The sequence below is a fragment of the Homo sapiens genome, chromosome 1, assembly GCF_000001405.40.
Source record: "Homo sapiens chromosome 1, GRCh38.p14 Primary Assembly".
Lineage (NCBI taxonomy): Eukaryota > Metazoa > Chordata > Mammalia > Primates > Hominidae > Homo > Homo sapiens.
The window spans coordinates 213,120,700-213,146,661 of NC_000001.11; the positions used below are offsets into that span (position 1 = coordinate 213,120,700).

The 25,962-nt window shown below is 35.8% G+C and overlaps 1 protein-coding gene across 46 annotated transcripts in view; it reads left to right on the forward strand.

The window, feature by feature from the left end:
- The window catches only part of RPS6KC1 (ribosomal protein S6 kinase C1), an 811,495-nt gene that overhangs the window by 69,459 nt on the left and 716,074 nt on the right, over window positions 1-25,962 (forward strand). For 28 of the 46 annotated variants that reach the window (XR_007058661.1, XR_007058662.1, NR_146210.2 and 25 more), the window contains one exon: window positions 8,828-9,190. The exons of 9 other annotated variants lie outside the window; for them this stretch is intronic. Coding sequence is in view for 19 of the 37 variants with exons in the window: in XM_047417936.1 (XP_047273892.1) it covers window positions 8,828-9,190 (363 nt within the window). In the remaining 18 variants the exon portion in view is untranslated. Of the gene's footprint in view, window positions 1-3,954; window positions 4,076-5,066; window positions 5,145-8,827; window positions 9,191-25,962 lie in introns of all 46 variants that reach the window. 9 more of the 46 variants (NM_001349660.2, NM_001349650.2, NM_001349669.2 and 6 more) reach the window with 3 other exon arrangements.

Here is a 25,962-nt window from a genome sequence, read left to right on the forward strand (position 1 = left end):
GTGGATTGTCATTTTTCATATTTGTGAATTAGCTAGCTGGTGGAGTGAGGCAGAGGGGGTAAATCTTAATATATAGTCTGCTGTTTCAATGTTCTTTAGTTACAGTTAGAGTGACATGGCAAGTTGATCACTTCTCAGAGAACAGAGGTAGAGGTGAAGTGATCATTATTTTTGTTAATATCTTAAAATGCAGTCAACAGATCCTAATATACTTTGAAATGAAAGTTTTCTGAGGAAAACATGACGATCTGGGTGTCTGTTTATTTGTTTTGTGATAGGGTCTCACCGTGTTACCCAGGCTTAGTGCAGCCTTCATGTCCTGGGCTCAAGTGATTCTCCTTCCTCAGCCTCCTGAGTAGCTGGGACTACAGGCAGGCACAACCATGCCTGGCTAATTTTTCTTTTTAAATTTTTTGTAGAAATGGGGTCTCACTGTGCTGCCCAGGCAGCTCTCGAACTCTTAGACGCAAGTGATTCTCCTGGCCTTGGCCTCCCAAAGTGCTCGCATTATGGGTGTGAGCCACTGTGCTTGGCCTGTTTTTTAAAATTACAGTTACTTTGTAGTAGCATGGGATAGAGAAACCCCTTTAAGGTTTTGTAAAAAATAATTTGGTGATAAACTGGTAAATATAGTTTGTTTAATATGAAATTGAAAATTAAGAAATTATTTGGTAGGTTTTTAAACAAAATATTGTTTTACATTTTAAAAATGAAATCCTGGTTACTCTTTATCTCCTTTGTTCAAAGAAGTTAAACTATATTTTTTCAAAGATGAAAGAAGATGTAATTGGTTGCTAACATCTTATTTCTATTATGTCTATTTCAACTTATGTCTTTTCCTTGAATTAAATTTAGCCGTGAAGTTACTAGGACATTTGTAGAAACCTGCCCAAATCGGTGCATATCAGTTGAGCTCCTTGACATATTTCTCTCACCTGTTGGCCTTTTTGAAGGGTGTAGATTGCTTTGGTGCCATGCTGGCCTTGATATCAGAGACTTGGATGTTGGTATAGTCTCATCTGGTAACCTGTGTCATTTCCTCTTCCTAATACATCACTTTTCAGTTTGGGGAGGGACATTTTTTCTGGTTCATGCAGCAAATGAGAGAAAATAATTAGGTAATTGTAACCACAAAGAAAAATTGAATGATCAGCTTATTGTATGTAGCATATCTTAAGAATGAATATGCTTAAATGTCTTCTGGAATAACAAAATCTACCCCCACCTTTTTTTGGCTGGAAATTGTGAATTAAGAACTCCTCAAGTGCTTATTGTAACTATTGTAGAGACACGAAAGGATCTATTAAACTGTCTTGAATTAACTATTTTAAAGTAAATGAAATGTGCATTTTGAGGATAGCATCTATTGCTCGTCTTTGTAACGGATCCCTTAAATGACATTAAGGTCAAGATTTGTATGTTTATTTGATGGCAGGTGGGGGTAGATTTTGTTATTCCAGGAGACATTTAAGAATATTAATTCTTAAGATCTGCTACATGCAATAAGCTGATCACTCAATTTGTCTTTGTGGTTACAGCCACCTAATAATTCTTTACGGTGTGTAGACAGACATGAAGATTGTGATTAAACTGTGTTAAATTGAATGGCGTTGATTATATTTAAAGCACTGGTTGGTCTAATTGGAAAGGTGTATAGTTATTTAAGTTTGAAAAAAATCTGTATCGAAATACCATTTATTTTGTCTTATTATTTGTGTTATTTTCATTTAATAGATTTAAACTTGACACTTTGAGGCAAGATCATTTTAAATAGGAATATTTGTCACATGATTGGTTACTTAATAACCTAAATCTATTTTCAAGACAAACTTAAAGTCTATTTACTACATAATATAGTGTGAGATGACAAAATACAGAAAGTATTAAATATTAATTTAAATGTAAATTTATAGAAAGTGCAAGTAATTTAAAGTAAAATTAAGTGCAAATGTCCACTAGGTGGCACCATAAGAACTCTAAATCTTGTTACTGGTATTTTTCTAGGCCCTTTGGTGTTATGTATGTTAGAATATCTCTTGCATACTCAGCTTGAAGAGATTCTTTTTTCTGTTATGTGCTTATTTACCCAACTTATTTTTATTCCCTGCCCCCAGTTGAATTTTCCTTGGTAGTGGAGCTTGACAAAAACAACAGGTCATTTTTTCCCCCCAAGATAGCCACAAATGAGAATGTACCAGTGTGTGTAAATGATACACATGACACTGATGATAAATATTGACTCTTACAAATTCTAGGGCTATTGAGGATAATATTGGATATTAGGAGTTTAGGGGTTGGGTGGGACAAATAACAGAAAATTCATGGTATGCCATGGGAATCATTATAAATGATACACTTAAATGTCTTATTTCACAATTACAGAGTTTGAATTTCAGAGAAGTTTAGCCATGTGCCGAAGATACTCCAGGTATTTGATAGCACTCACAGAACTATATTTTGAAATGAAGAGATTTCATTTTATGGAGGGGAGGCGGGGAGAAGACATATTTGGTATAGAAAACTCAGCATGAGCTACTTGCATACTGGTAATGGGCTTGATGTCCTGGAGGCTAGAGAAAGTTATGGAGAGTAGCAGAGTATAAAGTTCATTTGGCAAAAAATGAAGCCAAGTGATGGATCTTTATTATGATAAGATAGCAGTATTAGGGTTGTAATTAAGATTGCTGTGTTGTTTTCTGGGCTTATTTTGTTGTTTTACCAAATCTGTACGAGGTATTCTGAGGCTCTTTTTGTACATTTTCAAGGATGAAGCATAATAGACATGACCCAAGAACGTTATAAAAATGTGAAACTTCAAAGGAAAGGTTCTTTTTTGTAACAATAGCTATTACTAAATGATGAATAGGGAATCACATACAGGAATCTTAACTAGCATTAAGCTTTGGATTTAGGTATTCACTTAAAATCATATTTATAAGGGCTTCTTTCTTAATGGAAACTGGTATGTATGTCTTCTACCTTAGGGTAACCTTTGTTCTACTGGCTAGATAACTTGCTTTGTGCATGGCGCATGAGTCATTGCTACTAGGAAAAATAGAAATTCCTTTTTGTTGACTATGGCAATATTTGAACCTCAGGGCTCAGTGAAAGCTATCAGCTAATAATAATGAGGCCATGTATTTTATATATAGTCACCCATGAGAGACCACCTGTTGTTCTAAAGGAAACCGATCTCTTTTTACAGATGGTCTTCAAATACAGATTTCTGATAGTTTATAGTATAAAGATTTATTCTATGGCAACTCAACCTGTTCCCCTGGGGCCTGTCTTTCAGAGATGGTGTCCTAGACAGATTTCACTATACTGCCCTACTCTGAGCAGTTCAAAGCACAGAGGTAAGGGTAGGTAGGTGAACTGGGATGCTAAATAAACGCCTATGTCTGTAGCTGCTTTTTAACAAGTCACCTGGGGCCCTCTAATAGCCCTGAGACTTGAATTTCTGTGATACGAACCTGGAGGCAGAACGCTTTCATAGAACCTTTGACTTTTTCCCCTTGTATCACTTCCAAAAAAAGCTTAGGTTTTTGCCTTGATGGTGTTGGTGAAGGATGCACCTTTTACTCTTGCGATGGCCCAGAGGGCCTCTTTAAGTATGGGGTTGACTTCAGGTTGGTTTAACTTTTGACAAATAGTCTCTGTATTATGTCAAATGTCAGTGATTGCCCTGCCTTATCCACAATGTCCTTCCTACCTAGACTGAGAACCTGTCACTTGCTTGTTGCTCCCTATATCTTTCTTGTTAACTTTCTTTCTGGGCTTCAGGGAGCTAGTTTGCGTTTCGTATGATATTTATATATAGTTTTGTATGAAATAAGTTGAATTGTAGTGTGATTTCTAGGAGTTGAACAAGCACTGTATTAAGCAGATGTGTTAAGTATATAATATAAATAAACTAGGCATTGAATATTTACATATAATATGTTTATAAATAAGATTCATTGCTGTGGTGGTGAAAGGAGTTTTTAAATGTTATCTTCCTCGAGCTGGCCGGAGAATACGTCATTGAGAAGAAGGGAATTTAGAAACTGCTTAAATATGGAAGAGAAAGATATCAGTGAGTACTAGAAGATGATTGGTTGCATTGTGTGGTCGAGGAGATATGGTAGGGTTAGGCTTTTCAGGCATGGTAAGATGCAACTTCAAGAGGATAATTAAAGGAATAAGGTGGGCAAGGAAGAGGTGTCAGGGGTTTGCCTGCTTTAAACAGATCTGCCTTTGTACTTGTGTCTAACTCCTTTTTTAAGTTTGGAATTCTTGACGCTAGCTGCTGGTTGATCCATAGAGGTTTATATTTCACAAATGATGCCTGTATAACTTTCTTTTACTCAGATAAATTCCCAATATTGGCCCTTGATGCATCTCTTTTGATATCTTTCAGATACTGAACTTAAGGGCTTACCATACACAAAGTATATTATTAAATTCTATATTATAGAATTACCTATAATCTTACCATACACAGAAAATCACTGTTAATAGTGTATGTTTCTAGCCTTTTTTCTGTGTGTGTTTGTTTTTAAAGTAGAATTAAGTATACATACTCATTTGTAGTTTGTTGTTTTTGCATAATATAAGACACTTTAGCATTAAATATTCTATAAAATGATTTTAATAGCTGTATAATATTTTATCATAAGGAGATATCATAATCTATTATTAGGAATTTGTTATTGCCACATTTTTACTAATTTTTGTGATGGACAGATGGACATTCTTGTATGTAGATCTTTTTTGTACACCTCTGATAGGTTTTGGTATAAATTGCTGAATTTCTGGGTGAAAGAAGCAATTTTGCGCTTTTGATATGCATTGGCAAATTGTCCTCTAAAAAGGTTAAAGTAGATGTCTTTTTATTTCTCTTTGCTTCTTCTGGTTTGGCTATATAAATTTCTCTTTTTTATCTGCTTGTGTGTGTGTGTGTGTGTGTGTGTGTGTGTGTGTTTGCTTGCTTTTAAAGATGCCGAATTAAGAAATTATTTAGAATTTGAAAAGGAATGCTTTGTATAGAATGTTTATTTACTTAATCTTACTATCTTTCTCTCTAGGTATTTTAATGGTCTTACTTTTTTGATCTAATCTCATTTAATCATGATTCTCATTGCTAATAAAATATGATTTGAAAGGTAAGAGGAAATATGACTATGGTACCAGTTTTTTGTGGTCAAAAGCCAAGAAACAGAGTATACATAACTTTGCCCGCTTGCCCTTTGGTGTTATTGTTATTGTTAAAAGGAAAAATGGGGCAAAACATGAAACAGAACAATGTGATAGATGGTGTGAAGGTTATAGTGACAAGATACCAGAGAACAGACAAAAGAGATCTCTAATACAGCATTTCCTTTCTTTTGTGATTAGCTATATAAACCAGAACTTTTTTCAACCTTATCTATTTGTTTATCAGTTTCAATGGGCTAGATTATATATTGGCATCATTTAAGGAAATAAGTTTACATTGAAATACATAAAATATTTAAAATGACAAGAAAAATCTCATAAAATTTATATATATTTCTTAGGATAGTAGATAAATAACTGTAGATTGCTATAAAAGATTCTTATTATGAAGTACTGTTACTGTCCGTATGGCTGAAATGTCAGAGGACTGAAAAGATTTTCACTAGGCTCAATGAATCTCATTTGAGATTGTCGGTTTAATGAAATCTGTTGCTTTTTGGGAATAGAATTTGTTCTTTTGGGGCATTCTAAGAAGTTGAAAAAAAGTTGAAAATGAGGATATATATTGACAGGGTGCCAAAGCAGCATCTAAAGCTGATTAGAAATTTGAGCTTAGTGGCCAGTAACATGTTTTTACCCTAACTTACTTTATTTGATATGAAGTAGGCAATTTGAATTTAAAATAGGGGTTGGCAAAACTATGTTCTATGGGCTGAATCTGGCCTGCCACCTGTTTTTGTATGGCCTGAAAACTAAGAATGGTTTTTGCATTTTTAAATAGTTAAAAAAATTAAAAGAATATGATTTTGTGGTTTTGTGATGGGAAAATTATAAGGAATTCACACTTCAATGTCTGTAAATAAAGTTTTACTGGAACACAGCCATGCTTATTCATTTATATATTGTCTATGGCTGCTTTTGCACTACAATGGCAGTGTTGAGTGGTGACAGAGACCACATATGGCCTGCAAAGCCTAAAATATTTACTTTCTGGCCCTTTATAGAAAAAGCTTGCTGATCCCTGATCTAGAATTGTATAGTCTAATCCACTTTTAATTTTGATTTAGTATATAATCCTGAGGATATCATTTTCTTTTTAATTTTTTTTTCCTGAGAAACTTGGCAGATAATGTTCAGTGGTGAATGCAGATCTCAGTTATTTCCAAACTAGTTTTTATATAACTCTGTTGTCAGTCTTATTTAATGGTATAGATCACTGGCTCTCAAATGTAATCTTCAGATCTCTGGGTGTTTCTGAGATATTTTCAGGGAGTTCATAAAGCAAAACTGTTTTGATAATAATGCCAGGACATTCTTTGTCTTTTCACCATATTGACATTTGCCCTGATGATGCAAAAGCCATGGTAGGTGAAACTGCTGTGCTTGGGCATGAATCAAGGCAGTGTCACCAAACCGTAACAGTACTCATTGCACATACTTATAAAACCAATGCTAATTTTTCCTAAGTAGTAGAAACTGTTACATTTTGTTAAATCTTAACCCTTGTCACTTGTCTTTTTAATATGCTGTGTGAAAAAATGAGAATTATACATAAAGCACTCTGCATACTGAACTACCATGGTCGTCTTGAGGAAAAGCACTTATGCAGTTGTTTGAGCCATTAGCTGAACTAGCTGCTTTTTTCATGGGACACCATTTTGCTTGAAAGAACAATTAACAAACTGTCATTATTCAGACTTGTGTATTTGGCACTTTTTTTCTTGAAAGGGAGTGAAGTAAGCTGACACTTCAAGGAAAACAACTGATATTATTTGTTGCCAATCATAAAATTGGAGTTTTCAATTCAAAATTAGGATTTTCAGATAACCTCTGTCTGCCACTTTGGGTTTGACAGTTTCCCAATACTTAGTTTTCTGATGAGATTGGTAGATAATGAAATGTTGACATATGATTTTTTGGGATAATGAAATGTGCTGTCAACATTTCGAAGATCTTTATAACTAAGGGAACCAGTATTTTCAGGATGACCAATGTGTGATGTTATAAATTCATGCACAGATAAAAGATCCATTCAGTGTGCAAGACAGACCAATGGATTTGAATGTAACAGAAACAGAAATTTCATTCATAGGATTTTATATTCCACATTACAACTAAGCTTTAAAAACCTATCACTTGTTGAGTTTTGGTGTAGTATCAAAGAACAATATTCATAATTATTTGAAAAGGCTAATACTTGTTTCTTTTTCAGTTACATTATCTATGTGACATTTCCTTCATATCTTTCATCCAAAACAACATATGACAACAGATTGTGAGCAGAATCAGATATGAGATTCTAGCTATCTGCTGTTAATCCAGACATTAACAAAAATGTAAAACAATGTAAAACAGTGCAAAAATGTAAAACAATGCCACTTCTTTCACTAACTTTTTTTGTTTTGGAAAATATAGTTATTTTTCATAAAAATTATGTTAACATGTAATGGGGCTTTAATGCTTTATTTTATACATTTCTAGACTTCTTTTGTAAATATCAATATTGGTATTTAATAAATATTCACAGATACAATTCACATGAACAAAAGCTTTTTAGAGTCCACAATCATTTTGAAGAATATAAAAGGCTGTCCTGGGAGCAGAAAGTCTGATATGTATTGTGGATCGTGCTCATTTACCATGATGTCAGTTATATGAACTAGGAGAAGGAATTTTCACTGCTAAATAATTCAGTAGCACCTATTACCTCTTTTTTGTCTGAAAACTAAGGTGGAAATATACCTTTCCAGAAGCTTGTAGAAGAGGCTGAGATGAAAATGTCTAAAAATTCAGTTTTTAAAAAATGCTAAATAGCATACATTTTCCAGTTACGGATGGTTACCTAAAAGCACACTTCTGAGGACGCATTGTGTAGTTGTTATATAGTTACAGGTTGAGTATCCCTAATCTGAAAATCTGAAATCTGAAACACTTCTGTCCCGAGCATTTCAGATGAAGGATATTCAACCTGTTTATGTAATTGTTATAAAAGTTATAATATAATGATAGTCTATTATGCTTTATATGCATTAACTCTATTCCTCATTTAAAGACTTGCATAATAAGTAATACTATTAAGTAACCTGCTGTTGGTCACACAGTAAGTTTTAAGAGCTGGCGCTGGGCTTGGTGGCTCATGCCATCTAAGCTACTCGGGAGGCTGAAGTGGGAGGATTGCTTGAGCCCACGAGTTGGAGTGCAGCTGGGCAACATGGCAAGATGCTGTTCTCAAAAACAAAAACAAAACAAAAAAAAGAGAGCTGAGATTCAAGTGCTTTTTCCTTTATTAAAATGCTATTATTTATAGCAACTATGTGTACAGGCAACAGCTTTCTGTAAATAGCTTACAGGATCTTGTGGTAAAGGCTCTTTTTGGCAACCAAACTAGATAAAGATTTGTCTTCAATTTTAGTTTGATGATTAAGGCAAGAAGTTGTCTTCCAGAGTTACAGAGAGACAGTAAAATGAATGGACTAAGCCTAAACAAATTGCTAGACACTGACTTCCATCAGTAAATTACAGCCTTCCAAATTGACTTGGATAATATGAAAAATGAATAATTAGCATGATTTGTATTCGTTTGGCTGATTCTCAATTTAATATCTGTTTACTATTGTGATCATATTTCTAGGCTTCTCCAGTGACAGTGATCTGGTATCTCTTACTGTTGATGTGGATTCTCTTGCTGAGTTAGATGATGGAATGGCTTCCAATCAAAATTCTCCCATTAGAACTTTTGGTCTCAATCTTTCTTCGGATTCTTCAGCACTAGGGGCTGTTGCTTCTGACAGTGAACAGAGCAAAACAGAAGAAGAACGGGAAAGTCGTAGCCTCTTTCCTGGCAGTTTAAAGCCGAAGCTTGGCAAGAGAGATTATTTGGAGAAAGCAGGAGAATTAATAAAGCTGGCTTTAAAAAAGGAAGAAGAAGACGACTATGAAGCTGCTTCTGATTTTTATAGGAAGGGAGTTGATTTACTCCTAGAAGGTGTTCAAGGTATGGTTTTATGTATATTATGTTTTGGCATGCTCTTTTGTTGGTATGTGGGAAAAAAAAGTACATACATATATCTTCTGTATAGTCTTATGGAAATAATACTGAAAATGAGAAATTACTGAAGCTTAAAAGACCTATATATGGATATATACTTTAAGTTCCTTGAGATGTTAGACATTATCGGAGGTACTTAACCCTCTACTTTTAATCAATTAATCCACAAAAACAGGATTTAAAAAAAAGTCAGCATGTCTTGAAGTCTCTTGTATGAATAATAATCTTTCTTTTCTGATTTGAAAAGGCAGTGTTTTACCGGCCTTCATCTCTCTCAGGAGTAATTCACAGAGATTCTTGATGACCTGAAGAGACAAAATGAAATGGATTTTTAAACTAAGAGCATAAAAGATTCTTGGGTTTGCCGACTATTCTGTTCTTTGTAGTTGTAGTAAATTCTCATTTAATTAATGGAGGTGATGTGGGACATGTAGAGCTGACTGTAACTGAATGTCTGTATATAGAACTTACTTTTTTGAAGTATCAGCTATTGTTTTAACCCTTAAATTTTTCCTTATAAAAGCAGAATGAAGCATTCTGCATTTAGTTGCATGACTTTTTGGATGCAGTAATCAAAGATTGATATTGACATTCTTCCAGTGGTTTCATTTACAGAAGATCATCATTTTCATTGTTCTGTGGTCTTGGGTTTGTCGGTACCATTCAGATTACCAGTCTCCTGTATTACTAACACTTTTTACTACAGTACTTCTCACTATGCCTAGTATCCTGTAGTCCAGAAGCCTTTTGTTATTTCTGGAGTATAAACTTTCAGTTTTATAAAATGGTGTACCTGTCTGTATATGGAGGGTCCTAACTGCTTCTTAACCAGGATTTTGACCATTTCTCTTGTTTTTAGGTTTCACTCCCATTTCCTAATGCCACCAATTCCTGAATTTTTGGAGAGTTTTACCATGCCATGTAAATCAGGCAACTTTCTTGATTCCCTTTTAGTAACTTCTCATCCATCTACCTTTTTTTTTTTAAATTATATTCCATGGCAGCTTTTATATTCTAAAATTTTGTTGCTGTTACCTTCTCAGTTTCTTTATTCTTGTGGGGTTTTGTCTTAAAGAAATTTTTGACTGCCATGTTAATAGAGTTTCTGGAGGGAGAATAGCTAAAGAAATGTGTTCAGTTTGCCATCTTCAACTGGGAATTCAGATTTCACAATTGATACTTAATTTCGGTGGGCCTGAGGATCAAACAGCGATTAATGTTTTGTGTGTATAGCAATAAGAGGAGATGGAGTCTTGTTTCTTTTTTCATTAGTTATTGTCTTACTAAAGTTGCTTATATAACCATTTGGAACCTGTTAACACAGTTTCAAATAATTGATTCTAAATTCATTTCTCATTAATTTTGTCATCTTGATATGATTAATATTAGCTATCACTTTTAAGGTTTCTAATTGATACCTAATTTTGAAGTTACTTGTTTTCTTGCTTTGATGGAAAGATCATTTTCACCCTAATTTTATTTTTCAAATGGTTTTATAATGTTAGGTTTTTTTTTTTTGAGATAGAGTTTCATTCTGTCACCCAGGCTGGAGGGCAGTGGTATGATCTCAGCTCGCTGCAACCTTTGCCTCCGGGGTTCAAGTGATTCTCCTGCCTCAGCCTCCCTAGTAGCTGGGACTATAGGTGTGTGCCACCATGCCGAACTAATTTTTGTATTTTTAGCAGAAACGGGGTTTCACCATGTTTGCCAGGCTGGTCTCGAACTACTGACCTCAGGTGATCTGTCTGCCTTGGCCTCCCACAGTGCTGGGATTACAGGCGTGAGCCACTGCACCAGGCCATCTGTTGGGTTTTTTGTTTGCTAGTGGAGCATTCTGGTCTTAAATATCTATTCATTTTTATTCTTTGCCTTAACTCTCATTTTGGGTTGGGAGTTTAAAATGGGTATGAGTTATAAAAAAATCTGCTCTGACATTTTTTCCATTTGTTTTCAGAGAATTATGTGCTAAAACATCACTGGTGTTTAATTGACACAAATAAAACACATCAGTGTGGTCAGTGTGACATTTTTTAAGTTATTTGCATTTAATCTTAGAACATTTCATAATGTTACCACTTGATGGCACCAGAAAAATAAAAATCTGTGCTTCAAAATGAGAATTATAGATGCATGTCAGAAAATAACAAATAATGTGTCATTTGGTTAGTTACTTTGCTGATTATGGTGGTGAATTATTTCTCCACTAGAACTTGATACCAAACCTACTAGACTGCTATCTTAAGGAACATTACCATTTAACCATGTATCTCCTATTTAATGCATGTTTGTCTTTTTGAAAGCACAATATCCATTCCTGCTCTGGATTGGTTTCTGTTATTAATATGCCACAATTCCAGAAGTTAATAACTGACTAAATTGATTTTAGTCTTTTATTGTTTATTCATAATGTGATCAATTTTTATTCAGACAAACTATGGGAACCACAATCATAGAATTCTAATTTTTAACCAGTATATAAAAGAACCTTTGTTTCAGTCCTCCTGGTTACACATTTGACCCTGTGTCAAATGTAAGATCAGGACAGTGCTTCCAGTCCATGGATTCTGTACTAGCATACTAGTCACCACCTAACAGACATATGGACATTGTCCTTCAATTTCTGGGGAAACTGGGGGCTCTAGTTATGAGCTTGATTTGACCTTTATTTTCAGAAGAGATGTTTCCTTGGGTAAAGTTTGTTCTGGGGTAACAAAACTGTTAGTGAAATATCTCTATAGCCAGTAAAACGTATGAATCATTTAAATTGAACTCTTCATAACATTTGTTCTTGTGACCTTTATTGGCATGGATTGGCATGCCTTATAATAAAATAAGTATTTCTGGATATCTGATAATACAGAGAAAATAATCTTTCAGAGCTAAGTAATGCTTTATACAAAGATTCTTGTGGGTTGGCAAATTTTGTTATTTTGTTACTAAACTATTCATCCTAAAGAAGTTTATCTGGGTTGTTAGTAGGTCTGATAAAGATGGCTTGATGTTTTTCTTATTTAACTGGTATTTGCACAGCTGAGACCACATGCAAAACACAATAGCAACAGCTCTCTTTGCCCATCCGGCAGAGAATAAGTATACCCTGATAGTGGTAACTTTGAATTCTCTTTGAACCTGACACTTCACTTACTCCCTCTTAGAAATGGTTCTTGGAATGAAAGGACTGTCTACTCTTCTAAATTCTCAGGTCTTTATGGATTTAAGAGAGAAAATCCAAAAGTCAGAGTTGAAGGAATCAACTTGAATTTTTGAAAAGGATGTTGCAATATATATATCACACTTTCCTGTCCATCTTGTTTATATATTACTGAAAGTGGCGGATATGATTAATCTATGTGTGGGCTTATTGGAGTGGTTGTGGTAATATAGAGTGGTAAATGGATTACATAAAGGTATCAATAAAATGTTTAAGTAATTTATTACATGCCTGTCACTGTACAAGGTATTTTTCTTACATTATTTTTAATCTTCAAAGGAACCCTATAAGTTGAACTATGACTGGCCATACTGGACTTTGTCTAAGGACACCAAAATTTAGAGGGTGCAAACATTTAATATAATGATTCTAAAAGCTTGGCACCTAGTTAGCAAGAATAATTATTTAAAACAGGAAGCTACCAGATGGCGAGCATTGTTAGTAACACCCATCTGTGGGCTACATCATGAATTACAGAGTCGATTTGAGAGCTGGTTTTGTGTAGTTTGTTCCAGGTGCCAAAAGTACTGGTTTGATGTCTTTGTAAGGTAGATATTGTGATCCCTGTTTTATAGGTGGAGAAAACTAAGACTTACATAAATTAAGCAATTTGCTCAAGGACACAAACTAGTGAAAGTTGAGCTACGATTTTAATCTAGGTCTTTCTGAGCCTAAATCATATTTTCTTCGTATTGTGCTATGCTACTTCTCACATGTTCCTCCTAATTAGATTAGCATTTTAAGATGGAGAAGTGGGAAATCCTCTCCATTGTAGAATATTTGAAAACTTTCTTATTTTGAGTATTTGTCATTTTTCCTTCTATCCATTTGTTTGTTTTCACTCAGCCATCTATTCATCTAGTTGATCTTTCAACAAGCATTTATTTCTTGTATGTAGCAGGCCCTGTAATAGGGAATATAAAATGGTTATTTTCTAAAAATATAGAATCAAATTGAGTGACGGCCCTTCAAGATGAGATGTTTCTGTCAACTTAATAGCATGCTAATATGACCCATGATTTTGTAGTGTATATCTTGTTGAAAATATCTGGTAGATTTGCTGCCATAGTTATACCCGTTGCTTTTCACTTAACTTGATGTTGATGCCACACTTAAAAAATACCCCATTATTTCCCCCTGCCCTTCTCACTCTTTTTCTTTTCTTCCTCTCTCATTTTCTTCCTTCTCCTCTCCTTCCCTTTTACCTCCTTTCCTCTCCTCTTCTCTTCTCTTGCATACATTATGAGTGACATTTCATAATGTATTTCTGGATATTGTTGATATCCAATTTTTCTTTGAAGATTTTGTTGATATTTTTGACCAGTGAGACTATTTTTAATGTTAGTACTCAGATTAAGAGATGCAAACATTTTCATTCTGGTAAATGGTATAATAAGCAGTACCAAACCATTTTTTATAGTTTATTCTTGGGTAGATATGTGCTAGGCTATCAGGGATGTCCAGACGTATTTCAGACACCATGACCTTGTATGGAGCTTGGACCATTGATTTATTCCATGAATAAGAGTTACTCAAATATTTAGAAACCCAAAGGATAAAGTTTTTGGCTTTGGAAATAGATAGATAATATGAAAAACGTAGTAAGTTTAGGTTTGATAAAGGGAAGCAAGTCATGTGATTTTGGTATTTAGGGAATCTTAGAACCAATCCCCTGTGGATACTGAAGGGCAACTGTATAAGATTATAATTCTGAGAATAGAGGTAGTTTTCCTTCTTCCTTTTCAATTTGGATGGCTTTTATTTCTGTTTCTCACCTAATGCTCTGGCTAGAACTTCCAGTACAATGTACAAGAACATTGGGAAAGCAGACATTCTTGTCTTGTTCCTGATATCTCAGGGGGAAAGATTTCAGTCTTACCGTGGAATATGATGTTAGTTGTTGGTTTTTCATAGACGCCCTTTATCATGTTGAAGAAGTTCTATTCTATTCCTAGTTTTTTGTATGTTCTCTTGCAGGGGTGTTGGATTCTGACAAATGCTTTTTCTGCATCACTTGAAACAATTGTGCTTTTTTTCTTCTTTGTTCTATTAATGTGGTATATTACATTGCTTTTCTTATATTGAACCACTCTGGAATTCCTAGGATAAATCCCACTTGCCACAGAGATTTTTATCTTAAGTTTGAACCCAGTTGTGCCTTTTGGTATCTCTTGTGTATTTTGTTTATCATTGTAATATGGTTGGAAAAGAGGGACTGCTTATTGAGGTATGAGCCTTCTATCCGTCTCTGTCTGGAAGTTGAGATCTTATTTTTCAATAGGGAGGAGTATTAAACAAATACAGAATATTTCTTATTTTATTTTATTTTTTCCTTCAGTTGTGACCTGTGACCTGAATGTCATGAAAATTTTCCACAGCTTTTTCTGTTTTAAAATAAAATGTGTACTTTTCACTATGATTTAATAAATTGCCTTAGTTGAGAATTTTTCAGATCTTAACTGTTTTGAAACTGGCTAGAAGGAAGCATTTTAAAACAGTCTAATTAAGATTTTTAAAAATAGAGATTTGAAATGATTTAAATATGCCACTTAGTCTTCTGTCTTCCCTCCTCATCAGCATTCTGTTTTTTCCTTTCTTTAGTTGATCCAGGAAGTGTCTGCCAATAGGAGTCAGCAGTTACTAATGCAGTGAACTCAGAAGGAACTATTTCATAGGTTCAGAGAGAAGACTTACAGATTCTCTGTTCTCAATATTCACAAATGAAAAGAGAGTTGCTTTTTAAATTATCCTATACTCAGGTAATTCTCTTTCAGGTTTTGTGTTAAGACTAGATTTTCAGCTCCAGGTAGCAAAATCGTAACCAACTCAAAGAGGCTCACATAGAAAACATTGTTTTAGTCCATCTGAAAAAGAGTGTTTTATTCCACTTAAATGATTACATATAGCTCAATTCAGGTGTTCAAGAAATGCCAACAGGTCTCTGTCTTTTTATTTGCCTGTCTCTGTTCACACCCTGTATTTGCTATCCCCTTTCTCTTATTTGATTTTATCTTCATGGCATGAAAGGTAACCCCTGACTAGCTCCAGGTTTACAAAGACTTTGTCCTCAGGATCCTGGAGGAAGAGGGTATTTTCCCTCATAGCTCCAATAAAAGCCTCAGGGAGGATTGGCCTGGCATGCGTCACATAGCTTTCACCTCTGTCTTTGTAACCTGATTAGGCATAGGTTATTTGGTCATCCCTGGGAAGGTGGACAGAGCTATCCCTGATGCACTGCATGAACTGAACGGCATAACCATGGAATGTGGAAGGAGTGGATCAAAATGAGGAAGGGATGTTAGGCAGAAACAAAAAAAAAACACATTGAAATGTTATCTTCTGCTTATCTGTCATGGCCCAACAGTGCCGTTTATTATCCTTTCTCCCCTGGCCTTAAAAAACAAAAATGATTGTTTTGGTTGTTCATGTGTGTTCTCTTACATGTTTCTTAGATGATAATTCTCTAGAGAACCGGCATGGTATCTACTTTTTTTAAACTTTTAACGGAAGTATATTATATATACAGAAAAGTAAATATCATAATCATATAGCTGAATGTATTTTCACACATGGGACACTCCCATGTGACTGGCATCCAGATCAAGGAGCAGAATTTGGCCAGCACCATAGAAGCTTCTTCATCTCCCCTCTTCAAAGGAAATTATTATTCTGATCTTTAACAGTGTTGAGTGCAAGAGGTCTGCTTTTTCTTTTAAGAAATATTTTGGAGAAGGAGTCTTGCTATGTTGCCCAGACTGTCTTGAACTGGTCTCAGGCAGTCCTCCTGCCTCAGCCTCCCAAAAAGCCAGGACTTCAGTGTGAGCCATGGCACCTGGCTCAGGTCTGCTTTTTTCTATTCCCATTCCTTACAAGGGCAGGGTTCCAGTTTTGAGAGCCTGCTTTCTGTTGTTTCCACCCTCTTCTCTGCAATTTCCATTATGGATGATGATGGGGAATGGGTTGGGGTCTTGTTTCTCTTTTATTTCTGTAGGATCCTGACCTTTCTCTCATTTTCTTCTTTCCCTTTGGCCTTTCACTGCCACACCTTGAAGGGGTATCACTCATTTTCTATATATCTGATTCTTCCCCAGTAGGAAGGCTTTACCAAGGCTCTCACTTTTTATTTTCTTCACTTTCGAGCCTATAAAGCCTGTTTTTTTTATTTTTAAATTTTATTTATATTTATATATTTTTTTGAGATGGAGTTTCACTCTTGTTGCCTAGGCTGGAGTGCAATGGCGCAATCTCGGCTCACCACAACCTCTGCCTCCCAGGTTCAAGGGATTCTCCTGCCTCAACCTCCCGAGTAGCTGAGATTACAGGCATGTGCCACCACGCCTGGCTAATTTTGTATTTTTAGGAGAAACGGTGTTTCTCCATGTTGGTCAGGCTGGTCTCAAACTCCTGTCCTCAGGTGATCTGCCCACCTTGGCCTCCCAAAGCGCCAGGATTAGAGGCGTGAGCCACCGTGCCTTGCCAAAGCCTGTCCTTTAACTATCAGATGCCAACCTGTGTTTGGCATTTAGTTGGGCTTCCTTTTTCTGTTTTGTTTGTTTGTTCGTTTGTTTTTTCCTGTGCTTTGGTTTAAGTCCAGTTTGCTCTCTCTCTCTCTCTCTCTCTCTCTATATATATATATATATATATATTTTTTTTTTTTTTTTTTTTTTTTTTTCCTTCCCCCCACCCCCACCAAGGGATCTCTTAAGCTTTTCTTCCTCTGGTCACCACATCCATTGGCTTACAATAGGGGGCCCTGGGAGTGCTGTTGTAGTTTGGTTGGTTTTTCTATTTACAGATAATCCAAAGGTCATGGTATCTTTGTTTCCTAGTGGTGCTGAAAATGTGAGCCATATGTGGATTTATTTGTGCTCTTGATTTTTTGTTTGTTTCTTGAGAGGTTATGTGGAGACATTTGAAATTTGGTGGCCATTGTTGTCCTCTAGGCCCAAGAGTTCACACAGATTGATTTCAGAATGTTCAACAACTTTTGTATGCCTAAAATAAACTTTACTTGGTTGTGATATGGATTATCCTTTTTATATATCATTGGATTTAATTGCTAATATTTATTCATTTATGTACAGGCTTACCTTGTTTTGTTGTACTTTATAGCACTTTGCAGATTTTTTTTTTTAAAACCAAATAGAAGTTTTGTGGCAACACTGTATTGAGCAAGTCTTTTGGGGCCATTTTCTTTTTTTTCTTCACAACTTTCATTTTAGGTTCAAGGGGTATATGTGCAGGTTCGTTACATAGGTAAATTGTGTGTCACAGGAGTTGGTGTGCAGATAATTTTGTCACCCAGGTAATCGGTGTAATATTTGGTAGGTAGTTTTCCAGTCCTCACCCTCCTCCCACCCTTTACCCTCAAAGAGGCCTCAGTGTCTATTGTTCCCTTCTGTGTCCATGTGTACTGAATGTTTAACTTCCACTTATAAGTGAGAACATGCAGTGTTTGGTTTTCTGCTCCTATATTAATTTACTTAGATTATGGCCTTCAGTTCCATCTTTTGTTGCTGCAAAGGCCATGATCTCATTTTTTTAAATAGCTGCTTAGTATTCTGTAGTATATCTGTACCATATTTTCTTTATCCAGTTCACCGTTGATGGGCATCTAGCTTGATTCCGTGTCTTTGTTATTGTAAATAGTGTTGTGATAAACATGTGTGCATGTGTCTTTATGGTAGAATAATTTGTATCTTTGAGCATATACCCAGTAATGGAGTTGTTGGATTGAATGGTAGTTCTATTTTCAGTTCTTTGAGGAATCTCCAGACTGCTTTCCACAGTGGCTGAACTAAATTACATTCCCACCAGCAGTATATAAGCATTCCATTTTTTCTGCGATGTCACTGGCATGTGTTATTTTTTGACTTTGTAATAACAGCCATTCTGACTGGTATGAGATGCTGTCTCATTGTGGTTTTGATTTGCATTTCTCTACTGATTAGTTATATTGAGCATGTTTTCATATGTTTGTTGGCTGCTAGTATGTCTTCTTTTGAGAAGTGCCTGTTCATGTCCCTGCCCATTTTTTAATGGGGTTGTTTTTTACTTGTTGATTTGAGTTCCTTATAGATTCTGAATATTAGACCTTTGTCAGATACATAGTTTGCAAATATTTTATCCTGTTCTATGGGTTGTCTGTTTATTCTGTTGATAGTTTGTTTTGCTATGCAGAAACTCTTTAGTTTAATTAGGCCCAGTTGTCAGTGTTTTTGTTGCAAATTTTTTTGGAGTCTTTGTCATGAAGTCTTTGCCTGGGCTGATGTGTGGAATGGTATTTCCTAGGTTTTCTTTTAGGGTCTTTATAGTCTTAGGTTTTACTTTTAAGTCTTTAATCCATCTTTAGTTGATTTTTATATATGGTAAAAAGTAGGAGTCCATTTCCAATCTTTTGCATATGGTAGCCAGTTATCCCAGCACCATTTTTTGAATAGGCCATCCTTTCCCCATTGCTTGCTATTGTTGGCTTTGTCAAAGATCAGATAGTTATAGGTGTTCTGGGTTCCATAACCTAGAAATAAAGAAGGGTTTCATTGGTCTGTGTGTCTGTTTTTGTACCAGTACCATGCTGTTTTTGTTACTATAGCCTTGTAGTATATTTGAAGTTGGGTAGTGTGATGCCTCCAGGTTTGTTCTTTTTGCTTATGATTGCTTTGGCTATTCAGGCTCTTTTCTTATTCCAAATGAATTTTAGAATTTTTTTTCTTATTCTGTGAAAAAATGTCATTAATAGTTTGATAGGAATAGCATTGAATCTGTAAATAGCTTTGGGGAGTATGGTAATTTTAATAATACTGACTCTTTTATCCATGAGCATGGAATGCTTTTCTATTTGTTTGTGTCATATCTGATTCCTTTCAGCAGTGTTTTATAATTCTCATTGTAGAGATCGTTTACCTCCCTGGTTAGCTGTATTCCTAGGTATTTTATTATTTTTGTGGCTGTTGTGAATGGGACTGCATTCTTGATTTGGCTCTCAGCTTAGACGTGATTGATGTATAGAAATGCTACTAATTTTTGTGCATTGATTTTTGTATTCTGAAACTTTGCTGAAGTTGTTCATAAGATCTGGGAGCCTTTGAGCAGAGACTGTGGGGTTTTCTAGGTATAGTATCTTGCGAAGAAAGATGATTTGACTTCCTCTCTTCTTATTTGGATGCTTTTTATTTCTTTGTCTTGCCTGATTGTTCTGGCTGGGACTTCCAGTACTGTGTTGAATAGGAGGGGTGAGAGATGGCATCTTTGTCTTGTTCTGGTTCTCAAGGGGAATGCTTCCAGCATTTGTCCATTCTGTATGATGTTGGCTGTGGGTTTGTCATGGATGACTCTTATTATTTTGAGGTATGCACCTTCGATGAGTAGTTCATTGAGGATTTTTAACACAAAGCGATGTTGAATTTTATCGACAGCCTTTTCTGTGTCTATTGAGCTGATCATGTAGTTTTCATTTTTAGTTCTATTTATGTGGTGATCACATTTATTGATTTGCATCTGTTGAACCAACCTTACATCCCAGAAATAAATCCTACTTGAGCATGGTAGATTAGCTTTTTGATGTGCTGCTGGATTCCTTTTGCTAGTATTTTATTGAGGATTTCTGCATCTTACATTCATCAAGGATAGTGGTTTGAAATGTTTTGGTATCAGAATTATGCAGGCCTCATAGAATGAGGGAGGAATCCCTTGATTTTTTTTTTTTTTTTGAATAGTTTCAGTAGGATTGGTACCTCCTCATTTTTTTTTTCTTTTTTTTTTGAAACAGAGTTTCACTCATTGCCCAGGTGGGAGTGCAATGGCGTGATCTTGGCTCACTGCAACCTCCCCCTCCCGGGTTCAAGTGATTCTCTTGCCTCAACCTCCCAAGTAGCTGGGATTACAGGCGCCCATCACCATGCCTGGCTAATTTTTGTATTTTTAGTAGAGACGGGGTTTCATCATGTTGGCCAGGCTGGACTCAAACTCCTGACCTCAGGTGATCTGTCCGCCTTAGCCTCCCAAAGTGTTGGGATTACAGGCATGAGCCACCATGCTTGGCCATCCCCTCTTTTTTATACATGTGACAGAATTTGGCTATGAATTCATTTTGTCCAGGGCCTTCTGTTTGGTAGGTTTTTAATTACTGATTCAGTTTTGCAACTTATTATTGATCTGTTCAGATACTCAGTTTCTTCCTGGTTCAGTCTTGGGAGGTGGTATGTTTCCAGGAGTTTACCCATTTCTTCTAGGTTTTCTAAGTTTGTGTGCATAGAGGTGTTGGTAATAGTCTCTGAAGGTTTTTTTATTTTTATTTTTTGAATTTTTGTGGGGTCAGTAGTAATGTCCTTTTGGTCATTTCTGATTGTGTTTATTTGGATATTTTCCCTTTTTTTCTTTTTTAGTCTAGCTAGAAGTCTGAATCTTATTTGTTCTTTCAAAGAACCAACTTAAAAAAGTCGTTTGTATGGTTTTTCTCATCTCCATTTCATTCAGTTCTGCTCTGATTTTGGTTATTTCTTTTCTTTTGCTACCTTTGGGATTGGTTAGCTCTTGTTTTTCAGGTTTCTCTAGGTGTGACATTAGGCTGCTAATTTGAGATCTGACTTTTTAATGTGGATGTTTAGCACTGTTAACTTTACTCTTAACACTGCTTTAGCTATGTCCCAGAAATTCTAGTATGTCGTATCTTTTTTTTTTTCTTTTTTCATTAGTTTTGTTGGGTGGAGTGTTCTGTAGATGTCTGTTAGGTCTATTTAGTCAAACGTTGAGTTTTGGTTGTGATTATATTTGCTGATATTCTGCCTCAATTATCTGTCTAGTTCTGTCAGTGGAATGTTGAAGTGTCTCAGTATTACTGTGTGATTATCTAAGTCTCTTTATAGGTCTCTATGAACTTGTTTCGAGAATCTGGGTGCTCCATTGTTGGGTGCATATATATTTAGGATAGTCAAGTTTTCTTGTTGAATCGAACCCTTTATCATTATGTAATGCCTTTCCTTGTCCTTTTTGATCATTGTTGATTTAAAATCAGTTTTTTTTCTGGAATGAGAATGGGAACCCTGCTCTTTTTTGTTTTCCATTTGCTTGACAGATCTTTCTTCATTCCTTTACTTTGAGCCTGTGGGTGTTACTGCATGTGACATGGGTCTCTTGAAGATAGGATATAGTTGGGTCTTGCTGTTTATCCAACTTGCCACTCTGTGCCTTTTAATTGGGGCATTTAATCTGTTTATGTTCTTCTGGTTAAGAACCATTACTGGGGAGCTAGTACGGTCTTTTGGATGTAAGGAGACACTCTGGCTCCTAGAGTTGCCAGAGTTCTTGCACTGGTTCTTTCTCATCTGTGTGGGCTGATCTTCCTTTAACTGTGGTGTAATTTGAGTATAGTCAATTGGCTTTATTTCTGGATGTTTTCAGGTGGATGAAAGTTTGTAAAGGGTCTTTGCTTGTGGCTGATTTCTTGGCATTGGTTTCACAGGGTTGCAAAGTATTTTTGATGTTGAAGTTTGGGCTGCCATCCGGTAGATGGCGATTAAGCAACCACTACCCTGATCAGTCGGCAGCCAGCAACATAAAAGCAGTATTCCCTCTAACAGCAAAAAGATTGCGACTTACTGAAGGCTCGGATGATCGTTGTCATTTTTTAGCAATATTTTTAAATTAAGGTATGTACATTGTTTTTAAAGACATAATGCTATTGCACTCGTAGTACACTATGAATGGTGTAAACGTAATTATTATATGCACCGGGAAACAGAATGTGTGACTTGCTTTATCATCAAATTCACTTTTTTGCAGTGGTCTGGATCAGAACCTACAATATCTCCAAAGATATGCCTGTATATATATTTTTATTTTTCTTAGATTAGGTATATTTAGCAAATTTAAAAGTAAATTAGAGACATCGTGGCCTTTACTACCGTTGTGTAGTTTATATCTCTAGAATATAGGGTCATTCTTCTTCATATCCACAATATATTTATCATCCTTAACATATTCTATGGGAAGGATTTTAATAGTAGATTCAATTTCTTTAGTAGATATTCAACTGTTTTGTATATTTCTTCTTTCGTGAAACTCAGCAAGTTCTATTTTTCAAGAAATTTGTCTGTTTCACATAAAAGGTGAAATTTAATTGTAGAAGTGTTTATAGTGTCTCCTAATCTTTTGGATGTCTGTTGGGTTTTTCTGGATTTTGGTTATTTGTTATGTATTTTTTTTTCTTATTCACTCATGTTAGCATTTTATCAGTTTTTTTAATGTTCAAAAGAATTAACTTTTAACTTTTATTTTGCTGTTCTGTGTTTTCTATTTTATAGATTTGTATTCCTTTCTCATTCTACTTACATGAAGTCTGAATATTCTTTTTATTTTTGAGTTAGAAGATTACATCTTTGAGTTTCAGCCTTTTTTTAATATACATTTAGGATTATTAAATTTTCCATAAAGTATTTGTTTAGCTACCTCCTATAGATTTTGATATGTCAAACCTTAGTTATTATCAGTTCAAAATATTTTTCATGTTTTGTTTTCGTTTTTAAATCTCATTTTATTAGTTTTCTATTGGTGCTTTAACTACTTAACATAAACTTAATGATTTTCAAAACAAATTTTTAATTTTATTGTTTTGTAGGTTAGAAATCTGACGTGAACCACACTGGGCAAAAATCAAGGTGTGAGCAGCACCTTTTTTTTTTTTTTTTTCCTGGAAACTGCACATAAAAATAACTGTTTTCTTGTCTTTTCTAGCTTCTGGTGGCCACCTGCATGCCTTTGCTTATGGTCCCCTTTGTCCATCTCAAAGCCAGCAGTTTTGCATCGCTCTGACCATTCTTTCATAGTTACATTTCACAGTGATCCTCAGCCAGGAAAGGTTATCTGGTTTTAAGGAGCTATATGATTGGATTGGGCTCATGTGAATAATCTAGGATAATTGCCCTATATCAAAACCCTTAACCTTAATCACATTTGTAAAGTTTCTTTAGCCACGTAAAATAACATAGACACAGGTTCTGGGCTTAGGGCATGAACATCTTCAAGAGTCCCATCATTATTCTGCCTCCTGTACCTGTGAATTACTTAGAAGTATGTCATAAATAGCATAAGCATATTGTTTAATTTTCTGGCAGTTGGAGTTCTTTAGTTTTTTATTTTTTAGAGACAGGGTCTTGCCTTGTTGCTCAGGCTGGAGTACAGTGGCACAATCATAGCTCACTGCAGCATCAAACTCCTGAACTCAAGTGATCCTCCCACCTTAGCCTTCAGAGTAGCTGGGATTATAGCTGTGAAAAAATTCATAGAAATGGGAATCTTACTATGTTGCCTAGGCTGGTCTTGAACTCCCGTCCTCAAGAAGTACTCCAGCCCCAGCCTCCCACAGTGCTGGGATTATAGGTGTGAGCCACTGCACCTGGCCCCCTTTCTTGACCTTTCTAAGTCTACTTTACCAGCTTGTTCTTCCCCACTTGATCTTTAAATGCTGAAATTCATCGTGACTTGGTTATCAACCTTCTTAGGCTCTTTACCCTATTCTCCTTAGGTGATTTCAGGATTACATACTTTAATAACTGTCTACAACAGCAGTGTACAATAGCAATATCATATCAACACATATGTAATCCTGAATTTTCTAGTAGTCACATTAAAAAAAAAGATTCAGGGCCAGTGCAGAGGTTCACGCCTGTAATCCCAGAATTTTGGGAGGCTGAGGCAGGCGGATCACGAGGTCAGGAGATCGAGACCATCCTGGCCAACATGGTGAAAACCCATCTCTACTAAAAATACAAAAATTAGCTGGGCATGGTGGTGGGTGCCTGTAATCCCACCTACTCAGGAGACTGAGGCAGGAGAATCACTTGAACCTGGGAGGCAGAGGTTGCAGTGAGCTGAGATCGCGCCACTGCGCTCCAGCCTGGGTGACAGAGCAAGACTCCCATCTAAAAAAAAAGATTTATACTGCTGACCAAGATAGGTAACAGTCTTTCCTGAAGCAACTAAAAATACCAGACAATATATTTAACAATGATTTTCGAGACACTGGGCATCAGGTAATGAAAGACAGTGATTTCTGAGAGGAAACAAATGAAGTTAGGCTCATGATTGTCCCAGATTGCTGTCTTGAATTTCTAGGTTGTGGTGCAGGGAGAAGGAAGCCATTTGGATCCTGGCAGAACGTTCTCTCTGAGTTAAGAAGATGAAGTTGAGAGGCTAGGAAGAATGAAGTTAGAGTTTGTAGTTAGAGCTTGCAGGATACGATATTTAGAATTATTGCCTGATGTCCAGTGTGTTGTCTAGAGGAGAGATAATGGTACAGAGATTGGTAGTGTCTCCTGGAATATACACAGAGTACTCATTAGTGTATGCTGTGGGGAAACTACTCGAGACCAAAAAAGATATCCCAAAAGGATTACGAGACACAATTCTGGTTGCTCACACAGAGCTGGGAATAGTGTCTTCCTAAGAAGTAGTCTCAGAAACCTCAATCATGTGGCATTAGGTAGAATACATAGAAGGAGTAATAGTACTGTGGAATAATAATTAGGCCCACTCCCACAAGTCTTTTAAAAAATACATAATTTTTATTTTTTTCAATTTTTTGGTAGGTACATAGTAGGTGTATATATTTATGGGGTGCATGAGATGTTTTGATACAGGCATGCAATGTCAGATAAGTACATCATGGAGAATGGGGTATCCATCCCCTTAAGCATTTATCCTTTGAGTTATGAACAATCCAATTACACGCTATGTTTTTAAAAAATGTACAATTAAGTTATTATTGACTATAGTCACCCTGTTGTACTATCAAATAGGTCTTATTCATTCATTCTGTTTTTTTTTTTTTTTTTTTTTTTTTTTGGTATATGTTAATCATCCCACCTCCCTGTAACCCCCCCACTACCCTTCCCAGACTCTGGTAACCCATTCTTTTACTCTCTGTGCTCATGAATTCATTTTTTTTTTTTTTTAATATTTAGATCCCACAAATAAGTGAGAACATGCAATGTTTGTCTTTCTGTGCTTGGATTATTTCACTTAACACAATAATTTTCAGTTCCATCCATGGCGTCGCAAATGACAGGATCTCATTCTTTTTCATGGCTCAATAGTACCCTGTTGTGTATATGTACCATTTTTTCTCTATCTGTTCATCTGTTAATGGACACTTAGGTTGCTTCCAAATCTTGGCTATTGTAAATAGTGCTGCAGTAAATATGGGAGTGCAGATATCTCTTTGATACACTGATTTCCTTTCTTTGGAGTGTATGCGTAGCAGTGGGATTGCAATTTTTTTTTTTTTTTTTGAGACAGAGTCTTGCTTTGTCGCCCAGGCAGGAGTGCAGTGGCACGATCTTGGCTCACTGCAACCTCCACCTCCTGGGTTCAAACAGTTCTCCTGCTCATCCTCCTGAGTAGCTGGGGTTGATTACAGGCGCCCGCCACCATGCCCGGGTAATTTTTTGTATTTTTAGTAGAGACGGGGTTTCTCTGTGTCAGCCAGGATGGTCTCGATCTCCTGACCTTG